The sequence below is a fragment of the Homo sapiens genome, chromosome 10 (genome assembly GCF_000001405.40).
Source record: "Homo sapiens chromosome 10, GRCh38.p14 Primary Assembly".
NCBI lineage: Eukaryota > Metazoa > Chordata > Mammalia > Primates > Hominidae > Homo > Homo sapiens.
The window spans coordinates 92,440,554-92,459,170 of record NC_000010.11 but is presented as its reverse complement, the minus strand read 5'-3'; the positions used below and the strand labels follow the sequence as shown (position 1 = coordinate 92,459,170).

The 18,617-nt window shown below is 43.2% G+C and overlaps 1 protein-coding gene across 14 annotated transcripts in view; it reads left to right on the top strand.

Annotated features, from left to right (window-relative positions):
• Window positions 1–7,487, top strand: part of IDE (insulin degrading enzyme) — a 122,410-nt gene extending 114,923 nt beyond the window's left edge. For all 14 annotated transcript variants that reach the window (NR_136399.2, NM_001322794.2, NM_001322793.2 and 11 more), the window contains 3 exons: window positions 2,740–2,812; window positions 3,528–3,595; window positions 4,632–7,487. Coding sequence is in view for 13 of the 14 variants with exons in the window: in NM_001322794.2 (NP_001309723.1) it covers window positions 2,740–2,812; window positions 3,528–3,595; window positions 4,632–4,727 (237 nt within the window). In the remaining variant the exon portion in view is untranslated. The remainder of the gene's footprint in view (window positions 1–2,739; window positions 2,813–3,527; window positions 3,596–4,631) is intronic.

The window sequence follows — 18,617 nt, the reverse complement described above, 5'->3', positions numbered from 1 at the left end:
AATTATTAAGGCTGTATGCAAACAAGTATTAATATAGCTGATATCACCTTAACAATAAGAAAAGGAGACTATAGTTTCAGAACTGAGCAGCAGAAGCCAGTATTTTGAAAGCACCTTTTTCAGCAATGAGATTTGACCCATTTTGGCTACAAAAATGGATGGCTGGACAAGTGATTTTCTTTACCTCATGGCTTCCTTTGCATTGTATAGAGGAAAAGAAGTGTCTCATCTAAATTACTCTTGTTCTTTTGCAATAATAGCCTGTAGTCCCAGCTGCTGGGGAGGCTGAGACAGGAAGATCGCTAGAGCCCAGGAGTTCAAGACCAACCTTGGAAACATAGCTAGACCCTGTTTCAAAAAAAAGAGAGAGGGGCTGGGCGTGGTGGTTCACACCTGTAATCCCAGCACTTTGGGAGGCCGAGGTGGGCAGATCACGAGGTCAGGAGTTCGAGACCAGCCTGACCAACATGGTGAAACCCCGTCTCTACTAAAAATACAAAAATTAGCCAGGCGTGGTGGTGCACGCCTGTAATCCCAGCTACTCAGGAGGCTGAGGCAGGAGAATCACTTGAACCCAGAAGGTGGAGGTTGCAGTGAGCCAAGATAGCACCACTGCACTCCAGCCTGGGCGACAGAGCGAGACTCCATCTCAAAAAAAAAAAAAAAAAAAAAAAAAAAAACAGAGAGAGTATTTATAACCAGGCCTAAGCTAAGTCTGGAACAGCATTTCCCTAGCTGTGTTCCATGGTATGCAAGATATTAATAGGGGTACCTAGGAAAAGGGTTTCATGACCATACAAGTTTGGGAAAGACTATTCGCATTCTTAGAGAATCAGAGTGTATTGGTATTTTAGAAATTATAAGAAGTCCCACAGTAAAGACTTTAGCCTGCATTTATTTAATTTTGACTAACATTTTCTAAACTGATTTCACCATGCATCCTTTTTTACACAGAATACCTATAAATATCTCCCAGGACTGTAGTGTTCCTTAGAACATATTAATAGTTTGCAAGAAGGTGCAGTTGTTTGTTTTTAGAAAAATGAGGATTGTCCAGAGTTGGTCAGAAAATCGGGAACAATCTGAAACTGGAGAAGGTGTTCTGCTGTCTGCTGATGTGGGTAGACAAGGGGGTAATGAAGGTTTGGGTGACAAGAGATGGAGAAGAGATCTTTGGAAGCAAACTTTTTACTCCAGTAAGATGAAGTTCTTAGATGAGGTACTACATGTTAATAGAGGCAGACCTGGGCTGAGTTCCTGGAAAGAGGCTGGAGAGGTCAGAGCAGGCCTGTGAGAATCTGGGCTGTTTTGCCTGCTGGCAGGGAGTAGAGTGGGGAGCCACGGGCAGGATTGCTGTGCAACATCAACAGGGCTTCCTTGCAGTCACATAGGACCAGGCTTATTAGTAACTGCCCAGTTACTAGTAACTAGTAACAGTTATTAGTAAATAACTGTTGAGTGGATTTGGTTTGGCTGATGATTTCTTTCCTCTAAGGATATGAAACGTTGCTTGTGGCTAAGGAATAAGAGGAACTTTGTCACAATTTTGTACCCCTTTAGAAAAGACAGTAGAAGTCTGCTGTTAAGGGAAAGGTTGGGACATACTTCCCCACAGGATCCACCTGCCAACTTAGCACTGCTGGCATTCATGGTAGTAACTAAGGGGAATCCCTCCAAGCAGCATGGTGGAATGGAGAGAGCAAGCAGACTCTAGCTTCTGACACCATCACCTATGAACTGTGTGACCCATGTAATTCATGTAAGCTGCTGTGTCTTAGAGTCCATGCCTCTAAAGTAAGAATCATCATGATGCTTAGTTCACAGAGAATTAAGTGAGCTGACATAGGAGAGTGCCTGATATAACGCAGGACTCAGTAATTGTTAGTTTCCTTTCTCTTTTGGTAGATGAACCACAGTTTACAAGCAGAGTCTGAGAAGGTTCTTAGAGGAGCAGGCACTCGTGCTTGTCCCTGACTAAGCTCAGACCATTGTCTCTGTAGACACTAAAGATCACCAAGTGCAGCCCTGCACAGCCCATCCCAGTGAGTACTAGGCTAGGTTTTTAATCCTAGCTCAGGCACTTATTAGCTGTAGGAGTTTGAGCAGTTTTTTAATCTCCTTGGATTCAGTTTTCTCATCTGTAAAATTGGGTTAAGGATAATTCTTTCCTTAGAGTAAGAAAAGGAAAGGAAAAAAAAAGAATAATTCTTGCGTGCCTTGCTAAATCTTTCTAGAGCTTAAATAAAATAATGTAAGTGAGGGGAAAGAAAGGGAAGTATCTTTTCTTTTTCTTTTTCTTTTTTTTTTTTTTTTTTTTTTTTTTTTTGAGACAGAGTCTTGCTCTGTCACCCAGGCTGGAGTGCAGTGGCGTGATCTCGGCTCATGGCACATGGCAAACTTGCTTCCTCGTGTCAGGCAATCCTCCCACCTCAGCCTCCCAAGTATCTGGGATTACAAGCATGTGCCACCACATTTGGCTAATTGTTGTATTTTTGGTAAAGACAGGGTTTCACTATGTTGGCCAGGCTGGTCTCGAACTCCTGACCTCAAGTGATCCACCTGCCTCGGCCTCCCAAAGTGCTGGGATTACAGGCATGAGCCACTGCACCCGGCCAGAAAGGGAAGCATCTTTTCTATATCTGACTGTGTGATAGCTGATTCTTCATAGTCTTCAGAGAACACCTCATTGTAAGTTCTTTAGTGGAGCAAAAGGGTGACCCTGCTCTTCTTTGTGCCTAGGAAATGTTGGCAGTAGATGCTCCAAGGAGACATAAGGTATCCGTCCATGTTCTTGCCAGGGAAATGGATTCTTGTAAGTATCAAATGTTGCCTTTTTAGGCTCATGTTGAGCCATCTGATGGTTGGCCTTTGTCATAGCTACATGCCTTATAGAACACCAGAAAGTAAAAGAGGTAGAGAACGGAAACTGGAGATAAGGTCTGCAGATATAAGGGGAAAAGAGAAATGAGGTAGTGAAGGAGAGAGGCAATACCAGGTGATAGAATGCCGAGCTAGCCACAGCATCACAGGAAAACACAGCTGCTTGCTGTTGGGGTGTCTCCAAACAGGCTGCATGAACCACTGCATGTGGGGAGTATGGGTAAGCAAGTTAACTTCCCAGTCCTTTCGTTTCCTGGCTTTTACTGGCCAAAGTTTGTCCTGTGGCCATTAACTCCCTTGCTTTCTGGGCAGTTTAGTAAAACTAGTAAGTTTACTAACAGTTTAGAAACCTAGCAAGGTCCTTCTGGGTGGACAGAAAGTCACATTAGACCTGGGCCCTAAAACTGCTGTGGCCAAAGTTTTATGACCTCAGGAATATCATGAGCCATCACTGGGTGGCTCTGGATAGAAGGCAGGACAAGTACTTAAGGCCTTGGGTAGCAGGCAACCTTTAGAGGATCTGAGAAGTACATGAACGGGGCTGGTGCGGTGTTTTTAATTAACTGAGTCTGGTTTAGTTTTTTTTTTTTGTTCTTTTGTGATAGTATCAATAAGTACAAAGTATTAAACCTTTTATTTTCTTATAGGTCCTGTTGTTGGAGAGTTCCCATGTCAAAATGACATAAATTTGTCACAAGCACCAGCCTTGCCACAAGTAAGAAATATAACGTTATGTTAGATTGTACTGACAGAGGACTTTCTATTTAGAAGAAGCAGCTTGGTTTTTTTTGTTTTTTGTTTTTTGTTTTTGAAATGGAGTCTCACTCAGTCACCCAGGCTGGAGTGCAGTGGTGCGATCTCAGCTCAGCTCACTACAACCTCCACTTCTTGGGTTCAAGCAATTATCCTGCCTCAGCCTCTTGAGTAGCTGGGATTACAGGCACACGCCACCATGCCCAGCTAGTTTTTGTATTTTTAGTGGAGATGGGGTTTCACCATGTTGGCCAGGCTGGTCTCAAACTACTGACCTCAAGTGATCCACCTGCGTCGGCCTCCCAGAGTGCTGGGATTACAGGCACGAGACACTGTGCCCGGCCAGAAGAAACTTGTTCATTGGGAACTAAAAGTGATGAACTAAAAGTTTCAGGTCACCAGGTGTTGGAGCTTCTACTTTAGTTCTTCCCTGAACATCTAGTCACTCAGCCTCTACCCTTGTCTGCCTTTGCCTCCTGTTTGAACAGTTGTGTTATTTTGCAATGGATCATTTCTGGCCACATCTGTTCCCAGCACTGAATACTGGAGAGAGACTTCTTAGTCTCTCCCATGTTACCTGCGTATTTTAATCATCTAGAAGGATTGACATTAGCTTGCAAGAGGAGGAAACTGGCAGTGTAACTAGGCTTTTTGTGGGTGGGCACACCAGCCTCTGCTACTCTGCTGAAGCCTTGATGCGAAGCCTCTAAGTCCTTGGTGAGCCAGCCCTTGTTTGCCCAGAGGAAAACCAAAAGGACTAAGGACACTTACCATAGGTTTGTACAGACCAATTCACGACCCTCCAGACATACTGATCCAGAAGAAAGGTCAGCAGATCAAGATACATGGGTTATTAGGTAGAGCGGCCTCAAGCCAAAACAAAAAAACAGTATATTAAGTAGAACTGAGGTATGCTCCCAGTGTCCGCCAAAAAAAGTTGATGTCCTTATTCTGATGTTTAGGTTAAATACACTAAAAGGAAACTTTTTTCTTTGCAGCCTGAAGTGATTCAGAACATGACCGAATTCAAGCGTGGTCTGCCACTGTTTCCCCTTGTGAAACCACATATTAACTTCATGGCTGCAAAACTCTGAAGATTCCCCATGCATGGGAAAGTGCAAGTGGATGCATTCCTGAGTCTTCCAGAGCCTAAGAAAATCATCTTGGCCACTTTAATAGTTTCTGATTCACTATTAGAGAAACAAACAAAAAATTGTCAAATGTCATTATGTAGAAATATTATAAATCCAAAGTAAATTACAAAATCTTATAGATGTAGAATATTTTTTAAATACATGCCTCTTAAATATTTTAAAATTTTTCTTTTGATTACTGAGAGAAATTTCCCCAATATAACAATGCTTAAAATGAATGATATTCCTATAGAATCTTCCTTCCCTATTCTGTAAAATAGTCACTTGTCCGAAGAAAGTTAAAAGTTAGCTCTTTTCTAAAAGCCTCCTAGCTTGACATAGAAGGCTTCACAACATTTAGAAAGGTAATAACTTTTTAAAAATTGATCCTCAAATTTGCTTTCTACTTGATGGTTTCATGTAAATCAGTGGAAAACATTACATTTGGCAGATGATAAAGCAATGTCATCTTTTATTAGTGAAATGCTGGTTATATAAGGCATGGTTTTAATCTTTTTATAAAATTTGAACATGTTTTTTATGCCAACTCGTAAAATGCTAGAAAACCCTACTTATTTACAATGCTAGAAATACAGACTTACCTTACATCAATTTTGTCCTAAACCGAATTTCTCAGGATTACTGTGGTTTCTTTCATTCTGATTGAATTATATTGACCTACTTCTTCATAGTTGGTTTGCAGTGTTCCATGAGTTTTACTTTTCCTCATCAACATATTGCTTTAACACAACATATTTATTTAACACGTACAAATAGGGTCAACTTCAGATCCTACTGAGTGTGTGACATGCTTTTCCAACATCAGCTTTTTGTAACCACCTGTATAACTTTTTATTACAGTGAAATTGCAGTCAGTATGTGAACCAAAATATCTTGCCCCTTTATGAATTTAAAAGGCAGCCAATACAAAGCCACCTTTTTGGAAATATAAAAAGTAAAGCCTTGCATTCTTATATAGCAGGTCTTCATAAAACTCTAAAATCCCTTGTTGCTACCAGTCTAATCTTGCCTTAAATGTTAAGTTATTTTTTGAATATATAAATATAAACATATAAACACAGATGATGACTGGAGTAGACTTTTAAAAAAATATTTTTTTCATGAGATACTATTTTAGGTGAAATTGTTACTGTAGATTTAACAGCTGTTTTGAAATATTTACTGTTATTAAAACTTGCTTCAAGAGAAATTGTGAATATATTTCCATATACAAGCACTAGTAACAGTAAGTGGCCCTGTCATCCACTAACTCAGGCAAAGTAAAGAATGGCATTTTTGAAGGACATTTTACCTCCCCATATGATTTGATTGGCTAGGACTTTCTTCTGTAAAGTCATACCTTTTCACATCTTAAGTTTTTACATTTGCCATTTTCCAAATCTCAATTTTGGGCAAGAACGATATAGTCACAACTATGGGGCTGCTTTCAAAAGCGGGGCTCCATTTCTACTGTCAGATCAATGTGGTGCTGTAACCATCTTTTTATCCCTACCTTCAAGAACCTCCTTATATGAAGCCTGTCTTTATCCATCAGAAGGTGTGTGAAATCATCACTTCCTTCTGGTTTTATGTATTTGTAGACTATGCAGCTTTTCATTAAACTGCAAGTATATACAAGACAGATCTGAAATTAGGCCTGAGTGTTCCGATCCACCACTGTACTAGTAAATAAAAATCCACCTACCTTTTATGTGGAAAATTATGTGCTATTGAGTAACTTTTAGCTCTTTTTTAAAAAATGGGTGAAATTTAAGTGTCTTTTTTATGAGAATGACACATGAAGAGATCTGAGAGCAATCTCATGTAGTCTTCCATGAACCTGCAATTGTTTGGTATGCGTCAGCATTTTCCAATTTCCAGGTTGGATCTAGAGCTGCTGTTGATCACTCAGGCATACTAATGGATTCATTTAGATGGGTCCAAGCTGCAGTCCATGAGCAATAACAGACTACCCCAGATACTGCAGTTTACGCAGTGCTTAGTAAATGAGATTTGTGGAACTAAGTTATTAGTTACCTGAGGCTTCTTAAGAAAGTCTTCTTTTTTGACCAGTTGATGTGAAAGAGGGAGCATGTGACACAGCCAGTATGGTGGAGTGCTAGGGTTATCCTGTTTACAATAAATCGCCTGAATTTCACCTCTGGAGTCTGCATTTGTATTATTTTTCCAGTTTTAGTGAAATAGTACAGTGGCCAGTCCTCAGCCTACCTCTCAACATCCCAGTTTGACCAGATTTCTTGCTTTCATTGTTCATAATGCAGAAAGCAGTGAATTATATTAACATTTTAAAAGTGTTTCTGGGTAACAATGATTTTTGTCAAATAGAAGACTCAATTTCACAACCTTAAGAATAGATCACTTTTGTAAAACAAGAATCTCAGTATTTGATGTTGGACTCCTTGCTGTGAGTATTGTCACTGACTCCAAACCCAGAAAGATTTGTTCCTGCCCTTACAGGGATGAAAATAAAAAGGATAGAAAAAATATTTCTCTCCTCTACAATGAGTCCTTACATCTTCTTGCCACATCTCCAGCTGCAGTTTAGGCAGATATCTTGTTCAATCTCTGTCTTCTTGATCCCTGTCAAAATAATTTTTCTACTCATATAGTGGCCAGTTGGCTCAGGCAGGCATTTCAAGAGGAATCTGCTTGTTCCTCACTTTTCCAGCATAGGACAGTGGTCCAGCCCGCACAGTCAGCATTGTTCTCAGGGACGATGTGGCAGCCCCACACAGAGGCCAAGAGCAACAGAGCAACTCCAGGATTTATGAGTTGGGACAGTCGTCCTCTCATTCATGATACATGGAGGGACTCAGGGGACTCAGCAGGTCCCCCTGTTGTTTTTTAGGGTTTTTGTTTTTGTTTTTTTTTGAGACAGAGTCTCGCTCTGTCAGCCAGGCTACAGTGCAGTCGTGCGATCTTGGCTCACTGCAACCCCCGCCTCCTGGGTTCCAGCGATTCTCCTGCCTCAGCCTCTGGAGTAGCTGGGATTACCTGTGCGCGCCACTGCGCTCTACTAATTTTTTGTATTTTTAGTAGAGATGGAGTTTTGCCATGTTGGCCAGGCTGGTCTCAAACTCCTGACCTCAGGTGATCCACCCGCCTTGGCCTCCTAAAGTGCTGGGATTACAGGCATGAGCCACTGCACCCAGCCCACAGTCTTTCAACAGGGAGGATAGTGATAAAAAATTTCATCATCCCAGATTTTCAGAGGTGGAAATAGGCTCAGAAAGGCTGAATAGTTTGCCCAGGATCATCCAGGAAGCAGATTCAAACCTCCACTCAGCTCTTTGGACTTTAGATCTCATTGTACCATGTGGATTTCCTGTAGTAATAGCTTCCAAGCCGATGAACATCCTTGTAAAACAAATAGACAGTTGCTTTTACATGTGTATATAACTTTACCTTTTTCTCATTTACTGTCTTACTTGATCTCTTAACCTTGCCTATTTTGGGGGGCATGAGACCAGATCTCACAGTCTTACACAGTCCACTTCGCCAGGCTACTTTGAGACCAGTTGTCACTACTGCCTGCAGAATCTCCTTCCCTTCCTTTTGGGGGTAATCCAGGTCTTAAACCAGTGTAAGCTCTTTTTCCTATTGCTCTGGAGTGATAGTTTCTAGGATCTTTCAAGAAGTTTGGAAGAGGCCAGGCATGGTGGCTCATGCTTGTAATCCCAGCACTTTGGGAGGCTGAGGTGGGTGGATCACTCACCCACCTGGTCAGGAGTTCAAGACCAGCCTGGCCAACATGGTGAAACCCCATCTCTACTAAAAATACAAAGTTAGCCGGGTGTGGTGGCAGGCTACTCAGGAGGCTGAGGCAAGAGAATCGCTTGAACCTGGGAGGCGGAGGTTGCAGAGAGCGGAGGTTGCAGTGAGCTGAGATCGTGGCACTGCACTCCAGCCTGGGTGACAGAGTGAGACTCTGTCTTAAAAAAAAAAAAAAAAAAAGTTTGGAAGAGGAGTGTGAGGAAGAGTCATTTTCACTTGTGACACCACCACAGAGACAGCCACTGCTTGCATGGTGTTTCTCTGCAGTCTTCTTCCTGTGCATATAGGAAGGGGTCACGTACTCAGTGTGGGAACTCTTCCCCTCAGTAGCCTATTTATACTGAGCATTTTCCACATGGATACCCTTGAAAAAAGTATGTCTTTTGTTGTTGTTGTTGTTGTTGTTGTTGTTGTCGTTGTCGGCGGCGGCTCTTTGGTATCGTATTGTTTGTTTATTGAATCCTCTGTGGGGGTTTTACGGTGTTTTCAAGTTCTGATCTGTGATAAACTTTCTTGTGCAGAGTATGTGTGTGATTTTCTGATTATTCCCTTAAATTGCCAGGTTATGGAATATGAATATATTATTTAACTTTATATATTGAAAAGTGTTTAATCTACAGAAAAGTTGTTGAAATAGTCCAGTGAATTCCCATATACCCTTCCCCCTGTATTGACCAATGTTGTTTGTTTCATATCCTGTCCGTTCTCTCTCTTATGTGTGTATGTGTGCGTGCGCACGTGTGTGTTTTGCCAAATCATTTGAGAGTAAGTTGCAGATGTTATGACTCCTTACCCCTAAATACTGCATCAAGTGTCTTCTAATAACAAGGTCAGTATGTGATAAGGAATTTTCCGTCACTCAGAGGGAAGTCTGGCCTTTGTCTTCTTTCTCTTTGCTATAGACAACTATATACCAGTAAATCTGACAACTTAGATGAGATGGACACGTTCCTTGAAAGACACAAATTGCCAAAAGAGACATGAAAAGAAATAGAAGATTTGAATATTTCCTTACCTGTTAAAGAAAGTGAGTCATAATTGAAACCCTTCCCATAAAGAAACTTCCAGGCCCACATGACTTCACTAATGAATTCTATTCAACATTTAAGGAAGGAATTATACCAATCTTACATAACACTTTAGAAAACAGGGAAGCCCTTCCCAACTCACTTCACGAGGCTAGTATTACCCCTATACCAAATCAAAGATATTTCAAGAAAAGAAAGCTCCAAGCCCTTAAAAACAATTCCAAAAGTCTTTAACAAAATATTAGCAATTTGAATCCAGCAATATATAAAAATGAATTTTTTATATAATTGATTTTCAAATATTATAACAACCTTACATGATGACCAAGTGGAATTTTCCCAGGAATTCAAGATTGCTATATTATTTGAAAATCAGGGCTGGGTGCGGTGGCTCACGCCTGTAGTCTCAGCACTTTGGGAGGCTGAGGTGGGCGGATCACAAGGTCAGGAGTTCAAGACCAACCTGGCCAACATGGTGAAACCCTGTCTCTACTAAAAAAATAACAAAAATTAGCCGGGCATGGTGGTGTGTGCCTGTAATCCCAGCTACTTGGGAGGCTGAGGTGAGAGAATTGCTTGAACCTGGGAGGCGGAGGTTGCAGTGAGCCAAGATGGCGCCACTGCACTCCAGCCTGGATGACAGAGCAAGACTCCATCTCAAAAAAAAAAAAAAAAAAAAAATCAGGCAGGGTCCGGTGGCTCACACCTGTCCAGCACTTTGGGAAGTCAAGGCCAGCGGATCACCTGAGGTCAGGAGTTTGAGACCAGCCTGGCCAACATGGTAAAACCCTGTCTCTACTAAAAATTCAAAAACTAGCTGGACATGATGGCACACACCAGAAATCCCAGGTACTCAGGAGGCTGAGGCAGGAGAATCGCTTGAACCCGGGAGGTGGAGGTTGCAGTGAGCTGAGATCACGCCACTGTACTCCAGCCTAGGCGACAGAGCAAGACTTAGTCTCAGAAAAAAAAAAAAGAAAAGAAAAAATCAATTATTGTTATTATGGTAACAGAAATAAAACACATTATGGATTATTTCAATAGATACAGTAAGTATTTTAGAAAGTTCATGATAAAAGCTTAAAGAGTACAAGGTAACTTTCTCAACGTAATAAAGGGAATTTACAAAACATCTACAGGTAACTTTTTTTCTTTCCTTTTTTTGAGATGGAGTCTCATTTTATCGCCCAGGCTGGAGTGCAGTGGCACAATATTGGCTCACTGCAACCTCCACCTCCCAGGTTCAAGCGATTCTCCTGCCTCAGCCTCCCGAGTCGCCGGGATTATAAGCATCTGCCACCACGCCCGGCTAATTTTTGTATTTTTAGTGGAGATGGGGTTTCACCATGTTGGCCTGGCTGGGCTCGAACTCCTGACCTCAGGTGATCCACCCCACCTCAGCCTCCCAAAGTGCCGGGATTACAGGCGTCAGCCACCACGCCCGGCCTACAGGTAACATTTAATGATAAAATATTGAACACTTTCCCCCTTAGATCTGCACCAAGATACCACTTCTCTTCAAGTAGTAAGGCATAAACATTGGAAAGGATGAAGTAAAACTGTTCACGGACTACATGATCACATACGTAGAGAATACTAAAAATCCTACCACTAATAACAATGAACAAGGTGCAGGATATAACTCAACATTAACAATTCAATTGTCTATATACTAGCAACAAAATTAAAATAGAATTTTTGATCACATCAAAATATAAGGAATTTAGGGGTAAATTTCTAAAAATGTGTGAAACCTGTACACTGAAAACTTCAAAGCATTGCTAAGAGAAAAATTTAAAGATCTAAGAGGATGTTTGCTCACATTTATGGATTGGAAGGTGATGGACAGGAGGAAAAATATTTATTTCTCACTTGTCTTGGGATCGTAACTGAGGTCCTATGATACTGTAATGTAATAAGATATGCCAGGCTCAGTGGCTCATGCCTTTAATCCTAGCATTTTGAGAGGCCAAGGTGGGAGGATCACTTGAAGCCAGGAATTTGAGACCAGCCTGGGCAACATAGCGAGACCCCCACTGCCATCACTACAAAAAAATAAAATTTAGCCAGGCCTGGTGGTGCAAACCTGTAGTCCTAGCTAATTGGGAGGCTGAGGCAGGAGGATCCCTTGAGCCCAGGAATTCAGGGTTAAAGTGAGCTATGATCACACCACTGCACTCTAGCCTGGACGACAGACCGAGACCCTGTCTCAAAAATAAAATCAACTGGGCACATTGACTCATGCCTGTAATCTCAACACTGGGAGGCTAAGGTGGTTGAATTGCTTGAGTCCAGGAGTTTCAGACCAGCCTGGGCAACATGGTGAAACCCCATCTCTACAAAAAATACAAAAATTAGCCAGGTGTGGTCGTGTGTGCTTGTAGTCCCATCTACTTGGGAGGCTGAGGTGGGAGAATCGCTTGAGCCCAGGAGGTCAAGGCTACAGTGAGCCATGATCGTACCACTGCACCCTAGCCTGGGCGACAGAGCAAGACCCTGTCTCAAAAATAAATAAAATGTACATGGACATGAAAAGAATCCTGAATAGCTAAGTTAATTTTGAAAAAAAAGGACAAAGTTATCCATCCTGATAGCAAAGCTTATAGAAAACTGTAGTAATCAAGACAGTGTGGTATTCCCCTAAGGAAAGGCATGTAGATAAAGGAAATAGAATTGAGAGTCTAGAAATAGATCCACACATTGGTTTCAGTTGTTTTTGACAAAAGTGTCATGGTAATTCAATGAATGAAAAATAGTCTTTCAACAAATCATTCAAGAATAACTGGATGGGCTGGGCGCGGTGGCTCACGCCTGTAATCCCAGCACTTTGGGAGGCCGATGCGGGCAGATCACCTGAAGTCAGGAGTTTGAGACCAGCCTGGCCAACATGGCAAAACCCCATCTCTACTAAAAAATACAAAAATTAGCCAGGTGTGGTGGGGGCACTTGTAATCCCAGCGACTCGAGAGGCTGAGGCAGGAGAATCGCTTGAACCAGGGAGGTGGAGGTTGCAGTGAGCTGAGATTGTGCCACTGCACTCCATCCTGGGCAACAGAGTGAGACTCTGTCACAGTAAATAAATAAATAAATAACTGGATGTCCTTTGGGTAAACAATTTAACCTTAACCCTTACTTCATAGTATATATAAAATTAACACAAAAAGGGCCAGGCTTAGTGGCTCACGTCTATAATCCTAGCACTTTGGGAGGCCAAGGCGGGTGAATCACCTGAGGTCAGGAGTTTGAGACCAGCCTGGCCAACATGGTGAAACCCCGTCGCTACCAAAAATACAAAAAAAATTAGCCAGGTATGGTGGTACGCACCTATAGTCCCAGCTACTCGGGAGGCTGAGGCAGGAGAATCACTTGAACCTGGGAGGCGGAGGTTGCAGTGAGCCGAGATTGTGCCACTGACTCCAGCCTGGGCGACAGAGCGAGACTCCATCTCAAAAAAAAAGTAGCCAGGCGTGGTGGCGCACACCTGTAATCTCAGCTATGTGGGAAGTCTGAGGCAGGAAAATCGCTTAAACCCAGGAGGCAGAGATTACAGTGAGCCAAGATCACTCCATTGCACTCCAGCCTGGGCAACAGAACGAGACTCCATCTCCAAATAATAAATTATTGGAAAATAAATAATAAAAAAAGTTAACACAAAAAGGACTACAGCCAGGCGCAGTGACTCACACCTATAATCCCAGTACTTTGGGAGGCTAAGGTGGGAGGATTGCTTGAGCCAGCCTAGGCAACATAATGTGACCCCACCTCTATAAAAAATTAGCCAGGTGTGGTGGCGCATGTCTGAGGTCCCAGTTACTGGAGAGGCTGAGGTGGATCTCTTGAGCCTAGGTTGTACTCCAGCCTGGGTGACAGAGCAAGACTGTCTCAAAAAATAAGTAAATAGTACTACAGATTTAAACAAAAACTAAAACTATGAAACTACAAGGAAATGGGAAATCTTTTTGGAAAAGATTGACAAATTGAAGTTTTTTAATTTTAAAAATGTCTTCTCTCCTTTATATGTTTTTTGTTGTTTGTTTGTTTGTAAATAGAGATGGTCTTGCTCTGTCACCCAGGCTGGAATGCAGTGGTGCAATCATAGCTCACTGCAGCCTCAAACTCCTGGGCTCAAGAGCTAGGTGCAGCTCAGCATTCCTGAGTAGCTGGAACTACAGGTGCACACCGCCACACCTGGCTAATTTTTAAAAATACATATTTTTTAGGCCGGGCATAGTGGCTCACACCTGTAATCCCAGCACTTTGGGAGACCGAGGCGGGTGGATCACCTGAGGTCAGGAGTTCAAGACCACCCTGGCCAACACGGCGATGGAGACCACCCTGGCCAACATGGCAAAACCCCGTCTCTACTAAAAACAACAAAAATTAGCTGGGCGTGGTGGTGGGCGCCTGTAATCCCAGCAACTCAGGAGGCCAAGGCAGGAGAATCACTTGAATCCAGGAGGCGGAAGTTGCAGTGAGCCGAGATGGCGCCATTGCACTCCAGCCTAGGCAACAAGAGAGAAACTCCATCTCAAAAAAAAAAAAATATATATATATATATATATATATATATATATACATATATTTATATATATTATATATACACACAGGGTCTCACTATGTTGCCCAAGCTGGTCTCAAACTCCTGGCCTCAAGTGATCCTCCCACCCGAGCCTCCAGAGTAACTGGGACAACAGGGGTAAGCCACTGCACCTCGCTAAAAATATCTTCTCTTCAAAAGATACCATTAAGAAAATAAGGCAGGCTGCTAACTGGGAAGATGTTTTTGCAATACATAAAGCAAACAAAGGACTTATATAAGAACATATAAGAAACTCTTAGAATTCTAAGACAACAATAAAAATCTGGTAAAGAATAGATGCTTCACTAAAGAAGATATAGGCAGCGGTCAATATGCCTATGAAAAAATCCTCAAGGTCATTGACTATCAGGGAAATGCAAAGTAAAGCCACAATGAAAGGCAAAACTATAATGAGAGAAGATCAGTGATTGCCTGGAATCTGGAACCAGGACATAGGATGAAAGGAGTTGAGGAAACTTTACAATGGAAATGTTCTTTTTTGTTTGTTTGTTTTGTTTTTTGTTTTTTGAGACAGAGTTTCACTCTTGTTGCCGAGGCTGGAGTGCAATGGTGCGATCTCGGCTCACCGCAACCTTAGCCTCCCGGGTTCAAGTGATTCTCCTGCCACAGCCTCCCGAGTAGCTGGGATTACAGGCATGCACCACCATGCCTGGCTAATTTTGTATTTTTAGTAGAGACGGGGTTTCTCCATGTTGGTCAGGCTGGTCTGGAACTCCTGACTTCAGGTGATCCACCCGCCTTGGCCTCCCAAAGTGCTGGGATTACATGCGTAAGCCACCGCGCCCAGACAGAAATGTTCTGTAGCAACTAAAAAGCTGGGGAAAAGTTGTTTGATATAAATTGATTATTTTACTATTTATTTTCTATTTTTTAAATCTGTTTTTATTGTTTTTAAATGTTTTCTTTTGGTTTGAGTTTTTTTACATGATTTTATTTTGTCTCCTTTGCTGGTGAAAAAAGTATTTTTTAAAAAACAAAATGAGATACCATTCCATGCAGACTGGCATAGCTAAAATTAGATGTACTGATAATGCCAAGTGAAAGCTTCTACCACATATTTAGAAAAATAGTTTTCAAAGTTTCTATTTCTGCTGTAGAGTAGACACACTTGTTCTTTTTCCTTTTTTTTTTTGGCGGGGGTACGGAGTCTCACTCTGTCGCCCAGGCTGGAGTGCAGTGGTGCGATCTCGGCTCACTGCAAGCTCTGCCTCCCGGGTTCACGCCATTCTCCTGCCTCCGCCTCCCGAGTAGCTGAGACTACAGGCGCCCGCCACCACGCACGGCTAATTTTTTTTGTATTTTTAGTAGAGACGGCGTTTCATCGTGTTAGCCAGGATGGTCTCGATCTCCTGACCTCGTGATCCGCCCGTCTCGGCCTCCCAAAGTGCTGGGATTTCAGGCATGAGCCACCGCGCCCAGCCTCTTTCCTTTTCTTTCTGTTTTTTTTTGTATTTTTTAGAGCTGGGGTCTCATTCCAGGCTGGAGTGCAGTAGCACCATCGTAGCTCATTGACAGCCTCGGACTCCCAGGCTCAGGCAATCCCCCTGCCTCAGCCTCCGAGTAGCTGGGACTACAGGTGCACGCCACCACACCTGGCTAATTTTTTAATTTTTTGTGGAGACAGGAATATCGCCATTTTGCCCAGGCTGGTCTCAAACTCTCCTGGGCTCAAGCAATCGTCCCTCCCTGGCCTCCCAAAGTGCTGGGATTACATGCATGAGTCACAGTGCCCAGCCACACTTGTTCTTTATTGTAGCAAAAGATATTTTGGGAAGTGTTTCAGAGGAATCTTTCCACAACTATAAGGTAGGGTGAGTTAGAAATATAAAATTACCCCGGGTTCATTGGCTGCCGCCTGTAATCCTAGCACTTTGGGAGGCCAAGGCAGGCAGATCACCTGAGGTCAGGAGTTCGAGACCAGCCTGGCCAACATGGTGAAACCCCGTCTCTACTAAAAATACAAAAGTTAGCCAGGCATGGTGGTGTGCGCCTGTAGTCCCAACTACTCGGGAGGCTGAGACAGGAGAATTGCTTGAATCTGGGAGGCGGCTGTTGCAGTGAGCCAAGATTGCACCACTGCACTCCAGCCTGAGCGACAGAGTGAGACTCCGTCTCAAGAAAAAAAAATTAAGATGTAATTATGAGAACACTGCTTCTGTCTCCTAGTCTTTGTGGGAGGATAGAATCCTAACTTCCATAATTGCCGGCTTGGTGTGGCCGGGCATGGTGGCTTATGCCTGTAATCCCAGCACTTTGGGAGGCCAAGGCGGAGGGGATTGCTTGAGCTCAGGAGTTCAAGACCAGCCTGGGCAACGTGGCAAGACCCTGTCTCTACTAAAAATACAAAAAATTAGCCAGACAATCCTCCCACCTCAGCCTCCAGCTACTCAGAAGGCTGAGGTGGGAAGATCACTTGAGCCTAGGGGTACAGTGAGCCAAGATCATGCCACTATACTCCAGCCTGGGTGACAGAGTGACACACTGTCTCAAAACAAACAAAAAACATAATTCCCAGCTTGCAGACACAGTCTATTCACATTTACACCGACCAACCCTTTGTAATGTTTCACTTGCGTTCCCTGTCGCTCCCCCTTCCTACACCCTCATTCTCCCTTTAAAACACCCAGGCACCTTGTATAAATTAGAATGGAGTTCAGCTGTTTCCACTACTGTCAATAGTTACTGAATAACATCAGTTGTCACCACTTCAATTAAAGTCCAGCTTTGTTTATCTTTGATAGCCTGGGTTAAATTTATAGGAGGCCATTATTTTGGACTGAGCTCCTACACTAAGCCCCAGCAGACCAAACCAAAATGGAATCACTCATGCTAAAGTGCCAGACAATCAAATTGAAACTTTTTTTTTTTTTTGAGACGGAGTTTCGCTCTTGTTGCCGCAATCTCGGCTCACAGCAACCTCTGCCTCCCGGGTTCAAGCGATTCTCCTGCCTCAGCCTCCCAAGTAGCTGGGATTACAGGCATGAATCACCACACCTGGCTAATTTTATATTTTTAGTAGAGACGGGGTTTCTCCACGTTAGTCAGGCTGGTCTCAAACTCCCGACCTCAGGTGATCCGCTTGCCTCGGCCTCCCAAAGTGTTGGGATTACAGGCGTGAGCCACCACACCCAACCTAAACTTTTTTCTTTTTTTTTTTTTTTTTGAGACAGAATCTCTCTCTGTCACCCGGGCTGGAGTGCAGTGGTGCAATCTCAACTTGCTGCAGCCTCTGTCTCCCGGATTCAAGCAATTCTCCTGCCTCAGCCTCCCAAATAGCTGGGACTACAGGTGTGCACCACCACACCCAGCTAATTTTTTGTATTTTTAGTAGAGATGGGGTTTTGCCTTGTTGCCCAGGCTGGTCTCAAACTCCTGAGCTCAGGCAATCTGCCCACCTCAGCCTCTCAAAAGTGCTAGGATTACAGGGGTAAGCCACCACGCCCAGCCTCCAACTGAAACTTTAAGGAAGCAGGAAAACCCCAAGTAGACCATTTTTCCTAAAAACATGTGATTGCAGCAACCAATCAGAAGGAGCCCAGTCAGGCCGGGCACGGTGGCTAACACCTGTAATCCCAGCCCTTTGGGAGGCCAAGTGAGCGGATCACCTGAGGTCAGGAGTTTGAGACCAGCCTGACCAACATGGTGAAACACTGTCTCTACTAAAAATACAAAAATTAGCCAGGCGTGGTGGCGGGCGCCTGTGATCCCAACTACTCAGGTGGCTGAGGCAGGAGAATCGCTTGAACCCAGGAGGCAGAGGTTGCAGTGAGCTGAGATTGTGCCACTGCACTCCAGCCTGGGAGACAGAGCGAGACTCTGTCTAAAAAAAAAGAAAACAAACTATAGGCCAGGTGCAATGGCTCATGTCTGTAATCCCAGCACTCTGGGAGGCCGAGGTGGGCAGATCACCTGAGGTCAGGAGTTCAAGACCAGCCTGGCCAACATGGTAAAACTCTGTCTCTACTAAAAATACAAAAATCAGCCAGGCATGGTGGTGCATGCCTGTAATCCCAGCTACTCCAGAGGCTGAGAGAGGAGAATCACCTGAACCCAGGGGTAGAGGCTGCAGTGAGCCGAGATCACACCACTGCACTCCAGCCTGGGCAACAAACAGAGCGAGACTCCATCAGAAAAAAGACAAAAAAAGAAAGAAAAGAAAAGAAAGAGAGAGAGAGAAAGAGAAAGAGAGAAGGAAGGAAGGAAAGAGAGAGAAAGAACGAAAGAAGAAAGAACGAACGAATGAAAGAAAGAAAGGAAGAAAGAAAGAAAGGAAAAGAAAGAAAGAAACCAAACTATAGATTTATAACATTTTCTCAGGTAAAATGTATGCAAATTTTAAAACAAGACACATATCATTGACTAAAGATTCAATAGGCCACAGGTTGGAAACTATGGCCTGCCATGTTTTTTGTCAATGAAGTTTTTTGG